General features: G+C 40.1%; 1 long non-coding RNA gene across 1 annotated transcript; it reads right to left on the bottom strand.

The window, feature by feature from the left end:
• Nucleotides 1-1,027: 1,027 nt before the first annotated feature.
• On the bottom strand, nucleotides 1,028-22,016 carry LOC105376872 (uncharacterized). The gene is made up of 3 exons (XR_935606.3): nucleotides 21,930-22,016; nucleotides 5,846-6,048; nucleotides 1,028-2,238 (listed from the first exon to the last, which is right to left on the bottom strand). It is a non-coding gene; the product is annotated as an uncharacterized LOC105376872 (long non-coding RNA).
• Nucleotides 22,017-25,358: the final 3,342 nt, after the last annotated feature.

The raw sequence follows: 25,358 nt of genomic DNA, 5'->3' as shown, positions 1-25,358 counted from the left end.
GGACTGTATATGATGACTCTTCTGTACTGAACCTCTTACCAGTCATTGTTGATCTGGGACAAATGGAGAAAGGCTCTTTGATAATAACCATATTTTATGAGGAATAATCACTTTAAATAAATGACCAAAAATGTAATGACTTAAAGCTAATCTTTAGAACATCAAGCTATGAAGTACCTCCTCCAAGATTGTATTAGTCTTCCTAGTGCTGTCTGGTACCAATATCCTACTTGTAGATAATGAACCGGGCTCAAGTAAGTCCTATTCCAGTAGCCTCACCAATGCAAAGCGAAATGGAAGAAGCCCCAAAAGATAGTAGTAGAGGAAGACTCTATCTGCATAAAGATGCATGGCCACAAGAGGGCACTGCAGACACAATGTGGAATGCAGATGCCCACAGGTACCCAGGCGGTCACTCACTGCAAAGAGAACCAATGGGCAAAAGTTAACTCGCTTTCCAATTTTAAAAGACAAATCATGACTTAATCTACAGTAGTGACTGAATCTATATTTAAATCCCAACATGCTGCAGAGCTATTTAGTATTATTCAGAATTAGAATTATTTCCCTTAAAAGCTTCCAAAGTAATATTTAAATACTATTAATCTGTATCTTACTTATACAACTAAGTATATTATATAGCAAGCAATAAACCTAAATAAAATTGCTAGTCAAATTGAGCATGGATTAAGTGATCAGAGAATGTCATACTTCTTCAATTCTGCCCAGTGCTTATCAGAGCACCGTTCCTTCACTTAGTAGGAACATGTTACAAACTGTCATTAAATATATCTGATAAATTAGTAATACATCATCAGAACACAGCCTACAGTTTTTGGGATAAGGGATTTTTAATATAAAAACCTTCTTGAGTGTTTTCCTACTGTAAGAAATTTTTAGTAGCTTTTCTCCTGTATTTATGTGATGCAGGCTTTGATCCCAGGAGACTGTCTTAACTCTGCAAATGCCAGGGAATCCATATTTACATCATAGAGATGGGCTATGGCAAATCAAGTCAGTAGCATTGGATGGTACCAGTTTAGTTTATTCCTTAAATGAAAAACACAAAGGCTGTGCATTAACTCATAGGACCAGCTAACAAAGGGGTCTCCACATTGTCAAGTTTAACCAAGAGCAAACGGGTTTTAAAACACACCTTTACATTTTTATAATGGGGAGATGAAGAGAAGAAAATTGTGCGTCAAATGTTTTCGAATACTCATATCCATATGTGGAAATAGAAATTAAAATATCATCGTAAGAAGTTATAAAAAGCATTTGTGCAGAACCACAATATTTTGATACTATTCAAACAATAATATCTATCTTAAGGTTTGAAAGAAAGTATAACATTAGGCATCAGGTTTTTTTACTTTTTAGTTTATGATTGAGAATTAAACCACAATATAAAACCAAAAATATTTTCAAAGAGAATTTAGAAGTTATGTTGATTTATGCAAGAAGTAGTGTTATCATATTATTAATACATTAATTAATACAGCTACATTTAAAACCCTGTAGACATGGGTGTACATACCAATATTTTTTCTCTTTATTAACAAATAGAGGGAAATTATATGCTACTGTTAATCTAATTTCCTGCTTCACAACCCTCTTTTAATTTCTGACATATGTTTATGTCTGAAACAGAAGAGCAAAGCACTTGCAAACACCCCTGAGTTAAGCCTAACACTTCGGGAACTCTTGAGGATTTGAGCGACTGGTGTGGAGAGACTGTCAGTATGCAGTGCCCTCTGCTGGCCAAATTATTAAACATCGCGATAAACAAAATTCCCAAGTGTTAATATTACAATGTGGGGGAATAAAACTAAGATTATTTTGGAATTAGCCCTATAATTCCGGAGAGTCACCATTCACTACCATAATTCCTTAGTGAACAGAGATTTACTTTTATGGAACAAAACAAGCGCAAAGCTACCTGGTACAAAGAAACATCCCCTGCCAAGAATGGAATAGAGAGTGAGACTTCTTATGCCTGCCCAGGTCTCAGGTCCAAAGTCACCCCAACTGTTACCTCTTTCTCAATCTTACCGCCCCTCCTCCATGTCCCACAGCCTCTCCGTGCTTTCACTTCCCAGTTCTGCTGCAATCTTTCAGCTTGTATCTTCTCATTGGAACTGTGAGCTCATCCAGCAGAGATATGTGTCACTCCTCCTGGAAGCCTCGGACATTACAAAAATTCAGTAACTGTCTGTCCAGTTTGGGTTTCTTCAAAAGCTGTAGAATTAATCATAGGGCCAGAATCAGCAATGTTGCAATGCAGTTCCCGGTGATGAATTTAGGAAGTTGTCCTGGACCCCAGAAGTGAGACTTTTAATCATGAAGAGTGGTGAACACAATGTGTGTGGCATAATAAACCTCTGGCTGTGTATTCATTAATTTTAAAGAAGAAAACGAGTACAACATTGCTGCTAAGACTTAGACGGGCTTCTGTGTAGAATTTCCATTTGGCTTCCAGGACAGATTCTTGGGTTCAGAGGCCACTAAGAAGGGGGAAGGAAGAGAGAGAAGGCAAACTTCTGGGCCAAGGTTCAGGGGAGGTGGAGGCAAACCTCTGAGACAGAGAGAGAAAGGCAGGCCTCTGAGACAAAGAGAAATCATTCTGGGCTCCTCTGTAGGGTTCAAACTGATTCGGTTTTATCCGGAGTAAAACAAAAGCAGTCATTTTAATAAATCCTTGAAATTCACATCTTTCCAGGTGCTGTAAGAGCACTGGGAAGACAGAAAGCTTAACTAAATCTTTGTCAATGAATATTTAAGCAATATACCAGGAAGCCTTTCAGGTGATAAACAAAACCTAGTAATTATAAAGATAAAATTGTGCAATTTGACTACAATAAATAACAAGCCTTTACTCTGCAAAACAGCATTACCTAAATGTCAAAATACAAGTAACAAACTGGGAAAAGTATCTGCAACACATATGGAAAGGCTACAGTCCTTACTATTTAAAAAGTATTTATACAAACCAGTAAGAAAGTTAATGCTAACAACCTAATACGACACACGTGAGCAATTTTCAAGAAAGGAAGGAGATTGTGTCTAAGCACGTGTCAATATAGTCAACCTCACTAATAATAAAATGCAACTATTATACCTAATTAATCTAACAACTATCAAATAGGTAAAACTAAAAATATTTTATAAACTTTGTGTATTAAAGCAAATGACCCCTCTAATATGCTGTTGGCAAGAAAACTTGATTCTACAACTTTCACACAGAACAGTTTGGCAATATCTATCATAATGCACCTTACACACACGCCCAGCCATGTCTAGGCATTTTCCCTACACATCTATTCCCATTGATACAAGGAAATTCATAGCATTCTCATTTTTAATAGCAAAAAAAAAAAATATCTGGGAACAACCTAAATGTCCATGAGTGCAGGCTGAATAAAGAAATCATGGGCTGGACGCGGTGGCTCATGTCTGTAATCCCAGCACTTTGGGAGGCCAAGGTAGGTGGATCACTTGAGGTCAGGAGTTCGAGACCAGCCTGGCTAACATGGCAAAACCCTGTCTCTACTAAAAATACAAAAATTAGCCAGGCATGATGGTATGAGCCTGTAATCCCAGCTACTTGGGAGGCTCAGGCAGGAGAATTGCTTGAACCTGGGAGGCAGAGATTGCAGTGAGCTGAGATTGTGCCACTGCACTCTAGCCTGGGCGACACAGCAAGACCGTGTCTCTCAAAAAAAAAAAAAAAGAAAGAAAGAAAGAGAGAGAGAGAAAGAAAGAAATAATAGTACACCAATATTTACAGTGTACCAACATTTAAAGTGAGAGTAGGATTATATATACTAATTCAGAAAGATTGCTGAGACATTGTTTATTGGAAAAATGTGCAGAATGAAGATGATCATACACTCTCATCTTGGGTTTACAAAGAACATATATGTGTTTGTTTATCAACAGCTTCACTCTGGAAAAGTGTAGAAGGACCTCTGGGAAATATGGCTGGGAGGAGACTGAGTTGCACTGTATAGAATATACTCTGGCACTTCTTGTTCATTTTTGGCCATATCGTTATATTACTGTTTCAAAAATAAATTTGAAAAACTGCATTTTGGGAGGCTGAGATGGGAGGATGGCTTGAGGCTAGGAGCTGGAAAAAACCCTGGGCAACATGCTGAGACCCTGTCTCTATTTAAAAACAAAACTATATTTAAAAATAAACATTTCCAGCAGTTTCATCTGCAATGTGAATTGCATATGTGCAGTTAACAATAAAGTCCCTCTGTCTAGCTTCTAACTTGTCAGACACAGCAAAGAGGGTGCAAAGATGTTCGGACTGAGAAGATGAGCACTTGGCTCCCCAGGCAGGGGCTCGTGGTGACTGGAGAATGAGAACTGGATCCTAGACTCTAGGCAAGGCTGCCCGCCCCTCCCTGCCCCTACTCCCTTGGGAGTGGAGCCTTCTCAGCAGAGGTGCCAACCAGATCAGGGGTCTTGAAAGGCAGTACAATGACTCTGGGTCAGACATCCTCGATTGCTCCTAGGTAGATCACTACACTCAGCAAACGCCCAGGATCCTCCTGAGAATGAGAGTGTTTCTCCAGCACAGCTTACAGAGAAGCCCCTGAAAGCCCGTGAGGCCACTGCTGGGGTGTGGAACAGCTGCACTGGTCACCTGTGGATACCTGTGACCAGCAGCGCATGAGTCTTTCCTAAAGGTGTCTCTATCCAGGTAAAACTCAAAGTTAGATGGGCTGAAAAACTGATGAGGTTTGAGCACCACTTTTCAATGATTTAAAAGAAGCAAACCGTGCTGACAACATAGGAGTGTACACAAATTATTTCAGATGAGTTTATCAACAGTCTTTGTATTAGGCCATTGTTGCATTGCCATAAAGAAATACCTGAGACTGGTCATTTATAAAGAAAAGAGGTTTAATTGGCTCACAGTTCTGCAGGTTGTAGAGGACACGATTGAACATGGTGTCGACGTCTGCTCAGATTCTGGGGAGGCCTCAGGATGCTTATAGTCATGGCAGAAGGCGAAAGAGGAGCAGACCTCTCATATGGCAGGAGCAGGAGCAAGAGCAACAGAGAGTGTGAGGTGCCACACACTTTTAAACACCCAGATCTCAGGAGAATTCACCTGCCACGAGGACAGCACAAAGGGGATGGTACTAAACCATTTATGTGAAATCCACCCCCAAGATCTAATCATTTCCCACCAGGCCCCACCTCCAGCCTTGGGGATAACATTTCAATATGAAATTCAGGTGGGGACACACCTGCAAACCCTATAAGTGTTCAAACTTTTTGATTATGGGTCCCTACCATAAAAAAACTTTTAAGCATGTACTTGCATTCTATGTATATTCACATAAGCGTATAGACTTATCACTGTACTCAATACTGTGCACATTACAAATCAAATACAAAACAGAAATGCTTAAAGTGTAATATAAACCATAGTTTTCCTGCTGTCATACTCACCATTTGGAAATAACAGTTGTGAACGGTGCTTCTCACACTTCAGACATCTGCACACTGTTAATGGGTTTTTGGTGCATATAGGGACTGCCATGTTTAGTACAATCTTAAGAAAAGTTATAACAATATTTAAGACTAACATTAATTGTGAAATAATCTCTCTTTCCTGCCATTGAAAAGCATGAAATCCAGTCCAGTAGACTGCCCGATTCACAGGACAGCTAGTTACTCTACATTTGGTAAATAGAACCTTCTGATACAAATTCATGGTCCTCTTGGGAGTCAGTGACTGGTGACTCTCAGCTAGTTCTATACATTCAGCTTAATCATGATCATGGATGCAGAAGTTGTACAGAAATTGCTATGAAAAATCACTTACAGGATTGGAGAGATGCTAAATGGAAGGCCTCTCAGATTCAAAAGCTGGAAGTTTGAGTTATGTAAATTTAGGAAATCATGGAAAATAAATTCCTCATCCTCTCTTGGATTGACTTGACTCTGCGAAGTATTCTTTCATTATCTGTGGCAGCATTAGGATGTGGTTTATAAATATTCCCAGTAACATCTCATTGATTTCATTTTCTGAGTAGTGAAGAAAATCATCAAGTATGGAAAAGAGTTAAGCTCCCAGTGTGCCCAAGTTTGGTCTCTAATAATTCCTAATATTACAACCTCAATGGTGAAAACTGTAATCATTCAGTTGTAGGTGACAGGTTCAGGCTAGGCCAAATAGTAATATATTCCCAAACCACCACATATCACAAAATCATCTTTACCGGTTTTATCAACAACATGAAGAAGTGATTTTACCTCCGTGTAAATTTATGCAAACAGCTTTTCTATTAGCAATGTATTTTGGTGTTTTTAAATGCAGTTTCATAGCCCACTCCCTCACTCAAAATACTGTAAATAAAAAACACCTTATGTCTAAGATTTTATCTTCTCCGCAATTTTCACTATTTCCTTTAACAACCAGAGTCATGTTGTTGACTATGAACCTTTCTCTTTGAATAAACACTGACTATTGGTGGAATCACTTTATTTTTATATAAAAGCCCTTGTTCATTGAACATATTTCAGCCATCTTAAAAATACTAGTCCCCATGCAGGGAACCCCTGGCTTGGGCCCACAGCACAGACTCTCCATCCTGGACTGATTGCACTGAGTGATTGACGACCTGCATTTCTCTGGGGTGGAGTCCCCAGGAGACAAGCAAAAGACCCTTGGACACAACCACTACTAATGTCCCTTCCTCTGCTGCCTCCAAGTTGGGGAGGGAACATAAACCCTGAGATCACCCCAGAGCTGTGGTGGGTAGCTCAGGAGTGCCAAGCTGCAATCTACAGCCAGCACTCAAGTGAGAGAAGAGCCAAAATTTCAGAGCACTGAGAGGGAGTGTGGCTGCAACAGTAAGGAAATATAGGGAAGCCACACAACTGAGCAACAGCCTAACAACTGACCGATATGCCTAAGCACCACCTACTGAATCACACTCCAAAGCTTCAACCCCCAAAATACCTCACTAACATACCCTACTGTGAAACCAAAGACAAGCAGTCAGCTACAAATAAAGATGCTGCACAAAAAGCCTCATCCCTGTGAAAACATCCAGAAAAGAAGTCTATTGACTGTACTCAATATACACTGCAGTTAAAGGAACACCCACATGCAGAGATGAGAAAGAACCAATGCAAGAACTCAGGTAATGCAGTAGTTCTCCAACAAGAGTTCTTTTTTTCTTTCCTTTTCTTTTTTTAAGACGGAGTCTCGCTGTGTCACCAGGCTGGAGTGCAGTGGTGTGATCTTGGCTCACTACAACCTCTGCCTCCCAGGTTCAAGCCATTCACCTGCCTCAGCCTCCCAAGTAGCCGGGACTACAGGCACGCACCACTACACGCAGCTAACTTTTGTATTTTTAGTAGAGACGGGGTTTCACCCTGTTGGCCAGGATGGTCTCAATCTTTTGACCTTGTGATCTGCCCACCTCAGCCTCCCGAAGTGCTAGGATTACAGGCATGAGCCACTGCGCCCGGCCCCAACAAGAGTTCTTAACCAAGTTCAGTTGGCTGAAAAGACAGAAATATAATTCAGAATATGGATAGGAACAAAGATCCTCAAGATTCAGAATAGTAAAACCCAATCCAAGGAAACTAAATATCACAATAAAATGATACAGAAGCTGAAAAATGGCATAGCCAGATCCTAATGGATCTCACAAAACTGAAAAACACTACAAGAATTTCACAATGCAATTGCAAATATCAGTAGTGGAATAGACCATGCTGAGGAAGGAATCTAAGAAATTAAAGACTGCCTCTCTGAAATAAGACAGTCAAATGAAAATAAAGAAATTAGAATGAAAAGGAATGAACAAAACCTCTGAAAAATATGGAATTATATAAAGAAGGCAAATCTACCAACCACTGGTGTCCCTGAAAAGGAAGGGGAGAAAGCAAACAACTTGGAAAACATATTTCAGGATATCATCTATGAAAACTTCCCCAGTCTCGCTGGAGAGGCCAACAGTCAAATTCAGGAAATAGAGAACTCCTGCAAGATTCTACTCAAGAAGATCATCCTTAAAACACGTAATCATCAGACTTTCCAAGGTTGAAATGAAAGAATGGTAGAGGCAGCTAGAGAAAAAGGGCAGATTGCCTACAAAGGGAACACCATCAGGCTAGCAGTCCACCCCCCAGCTGAAACCCTACAAGCCAGAAGAAACTAGGGGCCTATAGTCAACATTCTTAAAGAAAAAAAAAATAACCAAGAATAGCCAGCCAAACTAAGCTTCCTACGTGAAGAAGAAATCCTTTTCAGATAAGCAAATTTTGAGGGAGTTTGTTACCACCAGATCTGCTTACAAAAGATCTTTAAAGGAGAACTAAATATAGAAAGGAAAGACCATTACCAGCAAATACAAGAACACACTTAAATACACAGACCAGTCACACTATAAAGCAACATAATAACCAGCTAAAAACACAAGGACAGGATCAAAACCACTCATATCAATACAAACCTTGAATGTAAATGGGCTAAATGCCCCCACTTAAAAGGCACAGAGTGGCAAGCTGAATAAAAAAGCAAGACCCAATGGTATCCTGTCTTCAAGAAACCGATCTCACACATAATGACACCCATAGGCTCAAAATAAAGAGATGGAGAAAAAATCTACCAAGCAAACGGAAATCATAAAAAGCAGATCCCATCACCAATATATATGCACCCAACATAGGAGCACCCAGATTCATAAAACAAGTTCTTAGAGACCTTTAAAGAGACATAGACTCACACATAATAATAGTGGGAAACCTCAAAACTCCATTGACAGTATCAGACAGAACATCAAGACAGAAAGTTAACAAAGGTATTTAGAGGCTGAACTCAACATTGGACCAAATGGATCTGATAGAGCTCTACAGAACTTTCCACCCAAAAACAACAGAATATACATTCTTCTCATCACCACATAGCACACTGACCACGTAATCAAATATAAAACAATCCTCAGCAAATGCAAAAGAACCAAAATCATACCAAACACATTCTCAGACCACAGCAAAATAAAAATAGAACAGGACTAAAAAAATTGCTCAAAACCATCAATTACATGGAAATTAAACAACATCCTCCTGAATGACTTTTGAATAAAAAATGAAATTAAGGGAGAAATCAAGAGTTCTTGGAAACTAATGAGAGCAAACCTATAACATATGAGAATCTCTGGGACACAGCTAAGGCAGTGTTAAGATGGAAACTCACAGTGCAAAACATCCACATCAAAAAGTTAGAAAGATCTCAAATTAACAACCTAATATCACAACTGAAACAACTAGAAAAGCAAGAGCAAACCAACTACAAAGTGAGCAGAAGACAAGAAATAACCAAAATCAGAGCTGAACTGTAGAAAATTGAGACACGAAAAACCATTCAGAAGATCAACAAATCCAGGAGTTTGTGTTTTGAAAAAAATTAATAAGATAGACAGGCCACTAGCTAGACTAATAAAGAAGAAAAGAGAGATGATCCAAACAAACACAATTAGAAATAACAAAGGGGATGTTACCACTGACCGCACAGAAATAAAAATAACCGGAAGAATCTACTATGGACACCTCTATGCATACAAACTAGAAAACCTAAAAGAGATGGATAAATTCCTGGAAACATACACCCTTCCAAGACTGAACCAGGAAAAAATTGATTCCCTGAAGAGATCAATAATAAGCTCCAAAATCGAATCAGTAATAAATAGCCTATCAACCAAAAACAGCCCAGGACCAGATGAATTCACAGCCAAATTCTACCAGATGTACAAAGAAGAACTAATAGCATTCCTACATAAACTATTCCAAAAAATTGAGGAGGAGGGATTCCTCCCCAACTCATCCTATGAGGCCAGCATCATCCTGATACCAAAACCTGGCAGAGACACAACAAAAAAAAGGAAAACTTTGGGCCAATATCCTTGATGAACATTGATGCAAAAATCCTCAACAAAAACAACAAAAAAACTTGCAAACTGAATCCAGCAGCACATCAAAAGGCTAATCCCAAGGATGCAAGGTTGGTTCAACATATGCAAATCAGTAACTGTGATTCACCACCTGAACAGAACTAAAGACAAAAATCACATGATTATCCCAACAGATGCAAAAAAAAGGCTTCTGATAAAATCCAACAAACCTTCATGTTAAAAACTCTCAATGAACTAGGTATTGAAGGAACATACCTCAAAATAATAAGAGCTATCTATTACAAATCCACAGCCAACATTATACTGAATGGGGAAAAGCTGGAAGCATTCCCCTTAAAAACCAGTGCAAGGAAAGGATGCTGTCTCTCACCACTCTTCTTCAACATAGTGTTGGAAGTCCTGGCCAGAACAATCAGGCAAGAGAAAGAAATAAAGGTCATCCAAATAAGGACACAGGAAGTCAAACTCTCCCTGTTTGTAGATGACATGATCCTATATCTAGAAAACCCCATAGTCTCAGCCCAAAAGCTCCTTCAGCTGATAAACAACTTCAGCAAAATTTCAGAATACAAAATCAATGTACAAAAATCACTAACATTGCTACACACCAACAACAGCCAAGCTGAGAGCCAAGTCAAATACAATCTCATTCACAATTGCCACAAGAAGAATAAAATACCTAGGAAATACAGCTTATCACAGAGGTAAAAGATCTCTACAATAAGAACTACACGACACTGCTCAAAGAAATCAGAGATGACACAAACAAATGAAAAAACATTCCATGTTCATGGATAGGAAGAATCAACAGCATTAACATGGCCATACTACCCAAAGCAATTTACAGATTCAATTCCATTCCTATCAAACTACCAGCAACATTTTTCACAGCACTAGAAAAAACTATTTTAAAATTCATGTGGAGGTTGGGTGCAGTGGCTCACACCTGTAATCCCAGCACTTTGGAAGGCCAAGGCGGGTGGATCACCCAAGGTCAGGAGTTCAAGACCAGCCTGGCCTACATGGTGTAACCCTGTCTCTACTAAAAATACAAAAATTAGCCTCGTGTGGTGGCACATGCCTGTAGTCCCAGCTACTAGGGAGGCTGAGGCAGGAGAATTACTTGAACCCAGCAGTGGGAGATTGCAGTGAGCCGAGATTGCACCACTGCACTCCAGCCTGGACAACAGAGCGAGACTCCATCTCAAAAAAAAATATGAATTTTTTTAAAAGCCAGAATAGCCAAAACAATCCTAAGCAAAAAGAACAAAGCTAGAGACATAATGTTACCAAACTTCAAACTATACTACAGGGCTACAGTAACCCAAATAGCATTGTACTGGTACAAAACAGACACACCGACCAATGGAACAGAATAGAGAACCAAGAAATAAGGCCACACAACTATGACCATCTGATCTTTGACAAAGCTAACAAAAACAAGCTATGGGGAAAGGACTCCCTATTCAATAAATTGTTTTGAGATAATTGGCTAGTGATATGCAGAAGATTAAAACTGGACCCCTTCCCTACACCATTTACAAAAATCAACTCAAGATAGATTAAAGGCTTAAATGTAAAACCCAAAACTATAAAAACATTGGACAGCAACTGAGGCAGTACCATTCTAGACAGAGGAATGGGCAAAGGTTTCATGATGAAGCCACCAAGAGCAATTGCAACAAAAGCAAAAATTGACAAATGGGATCTAATTAAACAAAAGAGCTTCTGCACAGCACAAGAAACTATCAACAGAGTAAATAGACAATCTACAGAATGGGAAAAATATTTTATAAACTAAGCATCTGACAAAGGTCTAACAGCATCTATAAGAAACTTAAATTTATGAGAAAAAACAAACAACCCCATTAAAAAGTGGGAAAAGGACATGAACAGACACTTTTCAAAAGAAAATATATGTATTAGTCTATTTTCATACTACTATGAAGAAATATCCAAGACTGGGTAATTTAGAAAGAAAAACAGGCACCTGTAACTCACATGGACTCACAGTTCCACATGGCTGGGGAGGCCTCACAATCATGGTGGAAGGCGAAGGAAGAGCAAAGGTACATCTTACACGGTGGCAGGCAAAAAAGAGGGTGTGCAGGGGAATTGCCCTTTTATAAAATCATCAGTTCTCAGGAGACTTATTCACTATCACAAGAATAGCATGGGAAAAATCCACCCCAATGATTTGAAGGGGTGACCTGCCCCACCACACCCGTGGGTATTTCTAGTTGGGTGGGACGAGAGACTGAGAAAAGAAATAAGACACAGAGACAAAGTATAGAGAAACAACAGTGGGCCCAGGGGACCGGCACTCAGCACACCAAGGACCTGCACCGGCACCAGCCTTTGAGTTCCCTCAGTTTTTATTGATTATTATTTTCATTATTTCAGCAAAAAGGAATGTAGTAGGAGAGCAGGGTGATAATAAGAAGGTCAACAAAAAACATGTAAGCAAAAGAATCTATATCATAATTAAGTTCAAGGGAAGGTACTATGCCTGGACGTGCACGTAGTCCAGATTTATGTTTCTCTCCACCCAAACTTCTCAGCGGAGTAAAGAATAACAAGACAGCATTACTGCAAACATGTCTTGCCTCCCGCCACAGGGCAGCTTTTCTCCTATCTCAGAGTAGAACAAATGTACAATCGGGTTTTACACCGAGATACTCAGTTCCCAGGGGCAAGCAGGAGACGGTGGCCTTCCTCCATCTCAACTGCAAGAGGCTTTCCTCTTTTACTAATCCACCTCAGCACAGACCCTTTACGGGTGTCGGGCTGGGGGACAGTCAGGTCTTTCTCATCCCACGAGGCCATATTTCAGACTATCACATGGGGAGAAACCTTGGACAATACCCTGCTTCCAAGGGCAGAGGTCCCTGTGGCTTTCCACAGTGCATTGTGCCCCTGGTTTATTGAGACTAGAGAATGGCAATGACTTTTACCAAGTATACTGCTTGTAAACATTTTGTTACCAAGGCACGTCCTGCACAGCCCTAGATCCCTTAAACCTTAATTTTATAGAACACATGTTTTTGTGAGCTCCAGGTTGGGTCAAAGTGGCTGGGGCAAAGTGGTTGGGGCAAAGCTACATATTAACAACATCTCAGCAAAGCAATTGTTTAAAGTACAGGTCTTTTTCAAAATGAAGTCTCTTATGTCTTCCCTTTCTACATAGGCACAGTGACAGTCTGATCTTTCTTTTCCCTACATGATTCAATTATCTTCCTCTGGGTCCCTCCCATAACATGTAGGGATTGTGGGAGCTACAATTCAAGATGATATTTGGGGGGGACACAACCAAACCATATCATTCATCCCCTGGCCTCTCCCAAATTTCATGTCCTCACATTTCAAAACCAATCATGCCTTCCCAACAGTCCCCCAAAGTCTAAACTCATTTCAGCATTAACTCAAAAGTCCACAGTCCAAAGTCTTATCTGAGACAAGGCAAGTCCCTTCCACCATGAGCCTGTAAAATCAAAAGCAAGTTAGTTACTTCCTATATACAATGAGGATACAGGCATTGGGTAAATACACCTGCTCCAAGTGGGAGAAATTGGCTAAAATGAAGGGGCTAGAGGCCCCATGCAAGTCCAAAACCCAGCAGGGCAGTCAAATCTTCAAGCTCCAGAATTATCTCCTTTGACTCCATGTCTCACATCCAGGGGATACTGATGCTAGAGGTGGGTCCCCATGGTCTTGGGCAGCTCTGCTACTGGGCTTTTCAGGGTACAGGCCCACTCCTGGCTGTTTTCATGGCTGTCATTGAGTCTTCTGTGGCTTTTCCAGGCACATGGTGCAAGCTGTCAGTGGATCTACCATTCTGGGGTCTGGGGGACAGTGGCCCTCGTCTCACAGCTCCACTAGGCAGTGCCCCAGTTGAGACTCTGTGTAGGGGCTCCCACCCCACATTTCCCCTCCACAGTGCCCTAGCAGAGGTTCTCCACAAGGTCTCCGCCCCTGCAGCACACCTCTGCCTAGACATCCAGGCATTTCCATACATCCTCTGAAATCTAGGCAGATGTTCCCACACTTTAATTCTTGCCTTCTGCACACCCACAGGACCAACACCACATGGAAGCTGCCAAGGCCTGGGGCTTGTATCCTCTGAATCCACAGTACAAGCTGTACATTGACCCCATTTAGCCACAGATGAAGCGGATGGGATGCAGAACACAAAGTCCCAAGGCTGCACATAGCAGGGGGGCCCTGGACCTGGCCCAGGAAACCATTTTTCCCTCCTAGGCCCACTGTGATGGGAGGGGCTGCCATGAAGGTCTCTGGCATGCCCTGGAGACATTTTCTCCATTGTCTTGGTGAATAACATTCTACTCCTCATTACTTATGCAAATTTCTGCTGCCAGCTTGAATTTCTCCCCAGAAAATGGTTTTTCTTTTCTATTGCATCATCAGGCTGCAAATTTTTCAAACTTTTTTGCTCTGCTTCCTCTTGAACTTTTCACTGCTTAGAAATTTCTCCCACCAGATACCCTAAATCATCTCTCTCAAGTTCAAAGTTCTACAGTTCTCTAGGACAGAGGCAAAATGCCACCAGTCTCTTTGCTAAAGCGTAGCTAGAATCACCTTCACTCCAGTTCCCAATAAGTTCCTCATCTCCATCTGAGACCACTTCAGCCTGGACTGTTTGGTCAAAACCACTCAACAAGTCTCTAGAAAGCTCCAAACTTTCCCACATCTTCCTGTCTTCTTCTGAGGGCTCCAAACTGTTCCAACATTCGCCTGTTACCCAGTTCCAAAATCACTTCCACATTTTCAGGTATCTTAATAGCAGTATCCCACTCTCAGCACAAATTTACTATATTAGTCCATTTTCAAACTGCCTGGAAGAAATACCTGAGACTGGGCAATTTATAAAGAAAAAGTGATTTAATAGACTCACATCTTGATATGGCTGAGGAGGTCTCACAATCATGGAGGAAGATGAAGGAAAAGCAAAGGCACATCTTACATGGCAGGCAACAAGAGAGCATGTGCCAGGGAACTGCCCTTTTATAAAACCATCAGTTCTTGTGAGACTTATGCACTATCATGAGAACAGCATAGGAAAAACCTGCCTCCATGATGCAATTACCTCACACTGGGCCCCTCCCACAATATGTGGGGATTATGGGAGCTACAATTCCGGATGAGATTTGGGTGCATACACAGCCAAACTATATCAATATATATGTGGCCAACAAGCATATGAAAAAAAGCTCAGTGTCACTGATCATTAGAGAAATGCTAATCAAAACCACAATGAGATACCATCTCACACTAGTCAGAATGGCTATTATTTTATTTTTTTGTTAGTTTTGAGACAGAGTTTCACTCTTGTTGCCCAGGCTGGCGTGCAATGGTGCAATCTCAGCTCACTGCAACCTCTGCCTCCTGGGTTCAAGCGATTCTCCTGTCTCAGCCTCCTGAGTAGCTGAGATTACAGGTGCCCACCACCACACCTGGGTAATTTTTTGTATTTTTAGTAGAGACAGGGTTTCAGCATGTTGGCCAGGCTGGTCTCGAACTCCTGACCTCAGGTGATCCACCTGCCTCAGTCTCCCAAAGTGCTGGGATTCCAGCTGTGGGCCACCGTGCCCGGCCTCAGAATGGCTACTGTTAAAAAGTCAAAAAAATAACAGATGCTGGCAAGTTTGCAGAGAAAGAGGAACACTTGTACACTGTTGGTGAGAGTGTAAATTAGTTCAATCATTGTGGAAAGCAGTATGGTGATTCCTCAAGGAGCTAAAAACAGAACTACCATTCAACCCAGCAATCCCATTACTGAGTATATACCCAAAGGAATAGAAATAATTCTGCCATAAAGATACATCCACACATATATTCATTCCAGCACTATTAACAATAGCAAAGACATGCAATCAATCTAAATACCTATCAATGACAGACTGGAACAAGAAAATATGGTACATATACACCATGGAATACTATGAAGCCATAAGAAAGAATGAGATCATGTCTTTTGAGGGAACATGGATGGAGCTGGAGGCCATTATCTTTAGCAAGCTAACGCAGAAACAGAAAACCGGATAACACATGTTCTCACTTGTAAGTGAGAGCTAAATGAGAACTCATGAACACAAAGAGGGAAAAGCACACACTGGGGCCTACCTGAGGGTGAAGGGTGAGAAAAGGGAGAGAAGCAGGAAAAATAACTGATGGATACTAGGCTTAATACCTGGGTGATGAAGTAATCTGTACAACCCCCATGCCACAAATTTACCTATGTAACAAACCTCCACATGTCCCCAAGAACCAAAAATAAAAGTTAAAAAAAAAAATACTAGTGCCACTGATCCTTTTCCAGGCTCCAGCACAGCTCACAAAGTAATGATTAACTAAACAACAAAATTTTTATTGTATATATTTTCAGTAAAAGAAAAAACAAATAAAAATTATCCAGCTGTCTCCCCTCATCTATACTTGGTACTTCATGTCAGACATGAAGCGTAGATCTATGAGCACATGTGCATGACAGTCCTTGATTTTCCAGTGTCAGCCACTGGTACTATGCAACCTCCAACACTGATTCTAATGTTTGATCATGGAATTTTGTCAATGGCTTGATTGCCATGTTCCCTGGATGAAAACCAATCAATTTTTATAGCTGGTTTTACAAGCATCTTGTCAGTCAAGTTTGTAAATTGCACGCATTTTTCTTTAAGGAATTCACCTTTCCATAATCTCTCTGTAGCACTGGTCATTTCTCTACCACTACTGAGGGAGAAAAAAAAGTCCATTTTAAAAATTGAAAATATTTAATTTTTTGTTATTCTAAATATCTGCAATTGCCTTACCAAAAAAAGGTAATGGGGTTTTGTTTTTAAAACGCCTCAAAGTTTGTATGGATTGGTGCCACACTTTGAAAGAATTCTAGCCCAGACATCATGCCACAATAAACAGGGATAAATGGATTCTATATCTTAAAAAATCTACTGTTAGGGCATTCACACATGACCTTTCGACTGCTTGTTCAAAATCTTCACACTCAAAAAGTCAACATTTATGAGCATACATAGATTCACATTTTATATTTACCTAGAAACCCAGTTACTATTTGCATTTATGAAATTATTTTGATTTTAATATATGCATTGCTATTTTCCTCACTATTTTTATTCCTCAATGAAACACTTTCAAGCCTTTGATCCATTTTTGTGAATTATGAGTATGATACAACACAAAACTAACAACTCAACATGCAAATTTAACAAATCTGAATAATACCATGCAAATAATATAAAAATATGCTGGTTGAGATAACTTCCTATAAATTGGAAGTTAGATAAGACAGACCAGTGGAATCCATAGAGTTCATGCACAGCTTTTAAGAGTAAAAGTATTATTAAGAATGCAATGGCATTCTATGAAAATCGTAATGAAACGTTTATTACAAATATGTAAAATGTTCATAGGATGTTTTTAAACTTTTTCCTCTAAAACCACCAGCAGCACAACTGTTAGTCCACAAGAGACCTTGAAAGTCGAGAAAACTAAATGCTGTGCTGGAGATCCAGATGTGGACATCCCTTCCCAATGTCAGGTTCTGCAACATCAATCTCATTGATAGCTTGAAATTGGCCATGGTGGAGTCATTTATACCTTGAATATGCCCAATCACTATAAATTAAGACTTTTCGGGGTGAGGGAGTGCTGTGATGATACCCAGTTTACCAGCACAACACTGGGAAGGCTGCATTTTTAGGAGCCCTAGAGGCTCCTAAAAATTCTAACCATAGAATTCTAACCATAGAATCCCTTCTTCCCACATTCAATCAGTTGTCAAATCATTCATTCAGTCATTCGACATATACTTGAATACACTGTAGAACATGCACTGTTCCAAGCCCTGGGTCTAAGTGCAAGGGAGTGAACAAAACAGATGTGTTCTTGCCGTCATAGATGGATAATTCGGTAGTTGAAACAAAACTGTAAATTACTTAACAAAAAATATTATAATATAAAACAAGTGCTATAAAGAAACAGAGCTGGGAGTGATGATGCAGTAACAGAAAGGAAACAGACCTGACTCACACATCAGGGAAGGCTTCTCCAAAGAGGGCAAGAGGATGAGGCTGTCAGTTTCCAAAGAGAAGGAAGAGCTCTGAAGGTTCTGAGTAGGAAATGCCCACCGTGTGCATCCCAGAATGCAGGCAGTGGCTGGAATGCTGGGAGAGAGGAGGGCAAAGGAAAGGAAGCTGAAGAGATGCTCAGGGTTGCATCCTCCTGGTCCTGAAGGCCACAGTGAGGAGTCTGAAGTTTACTTCCAGGAAAATGGGAAATAATGAAACTGTTTTAGGCAGGTGAGCAACATGTTATTTTATTTCTATATATTTATTTATTTATATATATTAGAATATATTACATATATAATATAGATATGTCTGTCTTATATACGTCTATCCTAATATATATTACATATATAATACAGATATATCTATCATAGCTGGATGGGGAACAGAAGCAGTAGGAAAATTTAGGCAAGATGGAGGTTTGGACTAATGTGGTCAAAGAGAAGATGGAGATTGGTGGATAGATATGAGATGTATTTAACACACGAAAACAACAGGGTTTGCTGACTCACTGCCAGGAAAACAGAAATTGAAGATAACAGTGTCCTGGCTTGAGTGACTTCGATGATGAGACAACTTATTAAGATTGAGAAGACAGGTAGAGGAACAAAACTGTGAAAGACAAGGGGAAAGAGAGAGGTTGGTGGAAATATCCTGTTTGAGAGGCCTCTCAGCAATCCACGGGCAAGGCCAGGTGGGCATTTGGATAATACTCACAATGTTTCTCCTTTTCTATTACCATTAGCTAAGACCTTCAGGGGATATTTTGTCATCTAAAAATGCCCCCCTTATGGAATCTATCCCATGCAACACTGACATATTTGCCTTCTTAAAATGTCATGATGATTGTTGATTCTCTTTTCAAAAATTGCCCCTGCTTCCCTAGATTAACTTGAGCCACAAGCTCCCATCTGCTCTTATCTCTCACTATGTCTCTACAAACACCAGCCAAGTTAAAACATTCTCCCATCACTCCCCAGATATTTCTGATTGTACATTTCTTCATGTCCTGTCCTGCTCTCTGCTTGTAGTTCTCCCATCACCGCTTCAGTTTCCACTACCTCAGACTACCTTCTACTACTATCCTGTCAGATGCCCTGATCTTTGTGACATCCTCTCAATTCAAACATGAATATGAATGTGTACCACTTAGGAAGTTGTGTGATGGGTTTTGTAAAAGGAACCCACACTTTGGCATCAGAAGCTCTGGGGTAAGTGCTATCCCTATCATTTATTATCTGTGTTTTGAAAAACTTGCTTAACCTATTTGGGCTGTGACTTATTCATTTATGAAATGGAAGTACCATGTGTGTTGTGGAAATTCAATGAAACTGAAAACAAAAATGTTTTCAAACTTTCAGACCCATAACAATGCTAGTTTCTCAATTTTTAACCCATGTTCCCTTTTGATAAACATAATAACAATGTTTAGCTTCTGAGTATAAATTCATGTAATAATGTTGAATATTTTTGTAAATACTCATCACTGCCTGGCGAGTCTTTCTTCTTTGAATGGAATGCAACCATCCTACTTAAACCCACTAGTTAAAATCCCTGTTTGAAGGTAAAAATATGATTGGGTCCGTCACTATCATTTGTATATATGGTTTATCATCTTTATTAAATAACATTATCTATCATCTTACTCATTTTTGCAATACATAAGTATTTATAATACAATCTACCCAGTAAAACCTCAATAAATATTAATTGAATCAATGAATTGATTGGATTCAATTGCAAATTAATTGAGCATCACAAATAAATCATTCTTGATGTCGAGAAAATTGAAAATAAGGACCTAACAAGAAGGATTCTGGGGAAAAAGAAGGCATTGTATACAACATATACAATTCATTTCTTCAGTCACCCTTCATCAGCTGAGACACACATTATCCATCTCATTCTACCACTTAGTGGTTTTCACCTTCCGTAAATCATGTCTCTGTGTTTTCGCTCATACTGTTCTCTCTGCCAGGAATGCTCATCTCATTCCCCCCACCAACTCTCAGCACAACCTTAATCTTCCTAGAGAAAACCTAAATTACAATAGCTGGAACCCAAGGGAGAGTCAGCACCAACAATGCAGGAGAGAAAAAAAATGGTGGAAGAGTGTCATGCCAATGCAAGACTTTCTTTTATGATATGCTGATGAATATACCAGTGATCAAATTTGACTCAATCCATAAATTACACCCTGCTATCCTTGAGTCAATAAAACTCATATTCTACTTAGGCCCACATGTGTCTAGGGCAAGTTCCTTCTGAATCCTCTCTTAAAATGTCTTGGAAACAAAGGCTATAAGAACCAGTCCTTGTCAAAAATAGATATTCTTCTGCCTGATGCCTACTTCCTCAGACCCATCATTTTGACATCCAATAACAGCCCCCAAGAATTGCACACATTTATTGAGAACATACTGTTTGCCAGGAACATTATCCTTTAATCCTCAAAGTTATCTTATAATGTTGACACTTTCATTGTCCCCATTTTAGGGATTGGGAAACTGAGGATTAGTGAGATTGAGTAATTTACTAAGGGTCACACAGCCACTACACATACAGTGGCAGCAAAATTTGAACCCAAGTCTGTCTGGTTCCAAAGTTCAAAATGTTACACATTGGTTTATGATACCAGTGGTCCCATATGATTCTGCTCAGGGGTGCTTTCTTCAGTTTGCCCCAACATGCGTGTTCCCTCTCCGTATTACCCCCATAATTACTGACCACATGTTTCAAGATTCAGGTTCCTGAACTTCTACAGTTAGAATCTTAATCAAGAATGGTGCCTAGGCTGGGTGTGGTGGCTCGTGCCTGTAATCCCAGCACTTTGGGAGGCCGAGGCAGGTGGATCGCCTGAGCTTAGGAGTTCAAGACCAGTCCAGGCAACATAGTGAAACCCTATCTCTACCAAAAATATGAAAAATTAGCCAGATGTGGTTGCACACACCTGTGGTCCTAGCTACTTGGGAGGCTGAGGTGGGAGGATCGCTTGAGCCTAGGAGATCGAGGTTGCAGTGAGCTGAGATCATGCCACTGCACTCCCACCCGGGTGACAGAGTAAGACTCCATCTCAAAAAAACAAAAAAAAGCCTATAAATTGATACCATCTTTTGTTCTTTAATCTAGAGGCTAGTTCCAAAAATAATAGAGATTTTAGACTACAATATTTCTTTCTCTCTGTAGACTTTAACATCTCAAATATCAGTGATGATTGCTTGTTAAGATGGAGAAGAGAATAGACACAAAATGCGCCTCAACATTTGCCTGCAGTAAAATGCGTAAGCTGAACGATGATTAGTAAATAAGATGGCCACATTACAGAAAATAGGTTTAATAAAATGTTGATGAGCTTCCTTTCTTCAAAGGTTAATAACCAGGAACACTTCCAAGCTAGTATTTCATCGGTAACTCTGAGTCGAAAACATGAAACTTACTTCCCTAACTCTGATATTGCTCATCAACCAGAATGCAGTGCTCTTTAAATTAGGGCTGCCTTGTTGCCATTAGTGGCAGTTTAAAAAACGTTTCCATTAACCATGAACAGAAGCTGATCGGGGAATGCAGTTCTTCTAAATCATCTGGGACACAAAAGATGATCTCCTTATGAGAATTATAATTCTATGGAATTATTAGCTTTATTTTTCTAAGTGAGCATCAATTTTTCCTTCAGGACATTTGTGTCTTTGGTGTTGAAGAAAGAACTACATTAATCAATCCTACCCTAATCCTGAGAGCTGTAATCCTCTTTTTATTTTCAAATCGATATCAGTGCAATGTGACCAGCATTTAAATGACCATTCCCTGTTCTATTTGCCAGTGTTTTACATGCCAAAGATATTTTCCCAAGGAGTCCTGCCATCGTTAAGATCAAACTTACCAAGGTCTCCGAGTCTTCTGAATCGGTTCAAAAGTAGGGAGAATTGGATTTGAGAGTGGCTCCTAGGCCTGGTCATCAAAACTGACTGCCAGGCAACCTCCCGCGTCGTGGAGTAGCTTGGGAGTTCCAGCTGCCAGTGGTGGCTGCCAGTGCCTTCACTCCCTCTGGAGCAGGAAACTCCTACTTAGTTTATCAACTGTAACTGCCAGCAGGCATTCTGCTGTGGACAGGAGCCTTAAAAATGCAATAACAGAACAGGAACTGGCAGAGGCCTCCCCCACTTAATTGAATCAGAGCTTTCTGGGAATTCGCTACTTTGACTCCAGACCGCAGACAAGCTTCACCTTCTCTTCCATTCAGGCCCCTAACTGAATCAAGTCTTGTAATTACACCTGGAGCTGTGCCAGACTCCATCTGTATCTTACAGTGGGGACTTAAATAAGGGAAGCAGCTTCCCTTCCATTGGCCAGGACCTCTTGACAAACTGACCATTCACTATCACCAACTCTTATGATATTATAGTGGTCATCAATAGCAAACTATTTCGGAATAAGGTGGCATTCTAGGATTTCCTGACGACCAAAGTTTAGCAAACCATCTATGACTCTCAGGGGAATTCTCAGTTCATGTCAGGTATAAACATATAGGCATTTTGTTTTACCTCCATCAGAATCAGCTGGAGAGAAAATAAAATCTTTCCTGCTTTATCATTCAGACCAAATTTCAATAAAAATTCTTATGGGAAATTGGGGAAAACATCTCAGCCTGCAAAATGGATTTTAAATAAAGATAACTTATCTTTATCATTAGTATGCATGCTAATGTATACTTACAAAATTGTAGTTTTGAATCTCCATCATTTTACTTTATTCTGACTCTGTTAAAGAACAAAGAGCTATTCTTCTTAGGATCACCAGGGAATGATGAAATGTCTCTGCCCAGTTTGAGAGCTTGCAGGGAGGCAGTCCCTTGAACAATGTGTATGGGAGCAGATGCCAGTTATCAGTGGCCCTTTCATGCACATGGTATTAGGAAGAGCACTTTCACCCTCCCCCTCTCCACATCCTCAAGTAAACGGTCATAAATGTACACCACTGTGAGGGTATAACTCAATCTCTAAAAGTTTTGTGACCAGATGTATAATTAGTTGCATTTGTCCTCCACCTAAGGAAAATAGGCCTGAGCCTCTCAGAGGGTTGCCCCATCTAAAGGACCCGGAAACTTTCCTTTGTCCTATTTACCCCCATTGTCAGAACTGGATACAAATCATGCCTAAGGATTCCAGTTAACGTGGAGCCTGCCTGTCTGGTAACTAACTCGAGCCACTTCCAAGGAGAAGGTAGTAGAGCTGGAGGCTCACACGGTCCACTTGAACATAGACCTCCACAAGAGCTTGGCTTGCAATCTGAGATTGGCATCATTGATGTCTTGTACCACTGGATTGATCCAAGAGCCACCCTCTCCCATCCCTATTCCAATTCTTCTTTCATCATGTACTAATTTCTTATCTACGCCCAGTTAATACTTGGCCTTAGCAGATGAGCCACCCCCTGCCTTCTCCTTCCTTCTCCACCGAGGCCCAGTGCCTTTTCCCCTCAGTTCATGCAGTGAAAAGGGAGTATGCTCACACATCTTTCAAGCTTGTGTCTGACACAGCCCAGAGAAGTAGAAAAAACACACAGGTGTAGTTTCAGACCTCGAGGAAATTCTCACTCTCTCACAACCCGACAGCTACACCTTTGGAAAGACAATCTCCCTGCATATAGGGGTGTTTCATTGTGGTTGGGTTGGTTGATTTCTAACAAAACTCATACTAATAGAAGTCATGTGTACATCAAAAGTATTGAATTAAGAAAAGAAGTCATTCTCCAAGGGGCTGCTCCTAATTATATTTTGCATTTTAACATTGACGATCCCTAGTCTTTGTTTCGGGCCTTCTATTTAGAACAGCGGTTTTCAATCTTGGCTGTACATTACAATCACCTGGGGAGCATTTAAAACCCACTATGCCCTGGCCACATGACAGACCAATTAAATCAGACCCTCTGAAGGTGAGACCCAGGCATCAGTAGTTTTCACAGCCCCCAGGTGACTGCAACGTGCAGCCATGGTTAAGGCCCGCTAGATTAGAAGGCCCTTCCTTAACTGGCTTTAACTGTTTTGATTTCAGGAATTTTACATACGCTGCAGTATATTTTCTTCATATAAAAATTATATTAAGTATACTCTGCTAGAGGAATTAGATATATAAAAGTTAAGGATGACTATTTCCATCAAAATGAAGTAAAACGTAAGCATTCTTTTTTTTCTCTGGAGAACCCAGACTAATACAGCGACTGTATTACTTGGTTCTCATGCTGCTACGAAGAAATACCCAAGACTGGGTAATTTATAAAGGAAAGAGGTTTAATTGACTCACAGTTCCATATGGCTGGGAAGGCCTCAGGAAACTTACAATCATGGCGGAATGGGAAGTAAATACGTCCTTGTTCACATAGCAGCAGGAGAGAGAAGTGCCAAGCAAAGGGGGAGAAGCCCCTTACAAAACCATCAGATCTCGTGAGAACTCACTCACTGTCATGAGAACAGTAAGGGGGTAACTACCCTCATGATTCAATCACCTCCCACTGGTTCCCTCCCACAACACATGAGGATTATGGGAACAAACAGAAAAGAAAAAAAGGTAAAAAAAAAAAAAGAATTCAAAGTGAGATTTGGGTGGGGACATGGCAAAATCGTATCAGTGATCAGGTGTCCTAATTTGTAAAATAAGGAAATAACATCAGTTGATCATCAAGATCCCTTTTATTTGTATAGTCAATGACATTTGAATAATGACTGCACCTCTGATTCAAACCACTTCTTTGGAAAAACCTTTGAACTAGAAGTTCAGTGTTTTACCAACTAGTAACTGTGTCTTTGAATAAATTACCAGCATCCTCTGATCCTTAGTTTCCAAGCGAAACACATATCTATTATTAACAAGCCCACTTATATAGCACTAGGGCTTTCCAGAATCATGCCCTTTTGATATATAGATCTACTTTACACTTGCCACTCTTTTTTTTACCTTTTCTTAAATTATTTAAAACCTATAGATTTTAAATATAGACCTGGCAAAATGAACTTTGTTATAATTTAGAAGTTTGGAAATAAGAATAAATGCTATGGTTAAAGCTAGCATTGTGACTGGGTTTTAGCAATATATTGTGAAAGGATAGATGGATTATTCCTTCTTGGATTCCCCTTCCAGTCCCTTAATGCCTGTATGTGTATATATATATATATATATATATATTTTTTTTTTTTTTTTTTTTTTTTTTGAGATGGAGTCTTGCTCTGTCGCTCAGGCTGGAGTGCCGTGGCACGATCTCAGCTCACTGCAAGCTCTGCCTCCCGGGTTCGTACCATTCTCCTGCCTCAGCCTCC

This window comes from Homo sapiens, chromosome 18 (assembly GCF_000001405.40).
Source record: "Homo sapiens chromosome 18, GRCh38.p14 Primary Assembly".
NCBI lineage: Eukaryota > Metazoa > Chordata > Mammalia > Primates > Hominidae > Homo > Homo sapiens.
The sequence above is the reverse complement of the archived record's forward strand: the minus strand, read 5'-3'. Positions and strand labels throughout refer to the sequence as shown.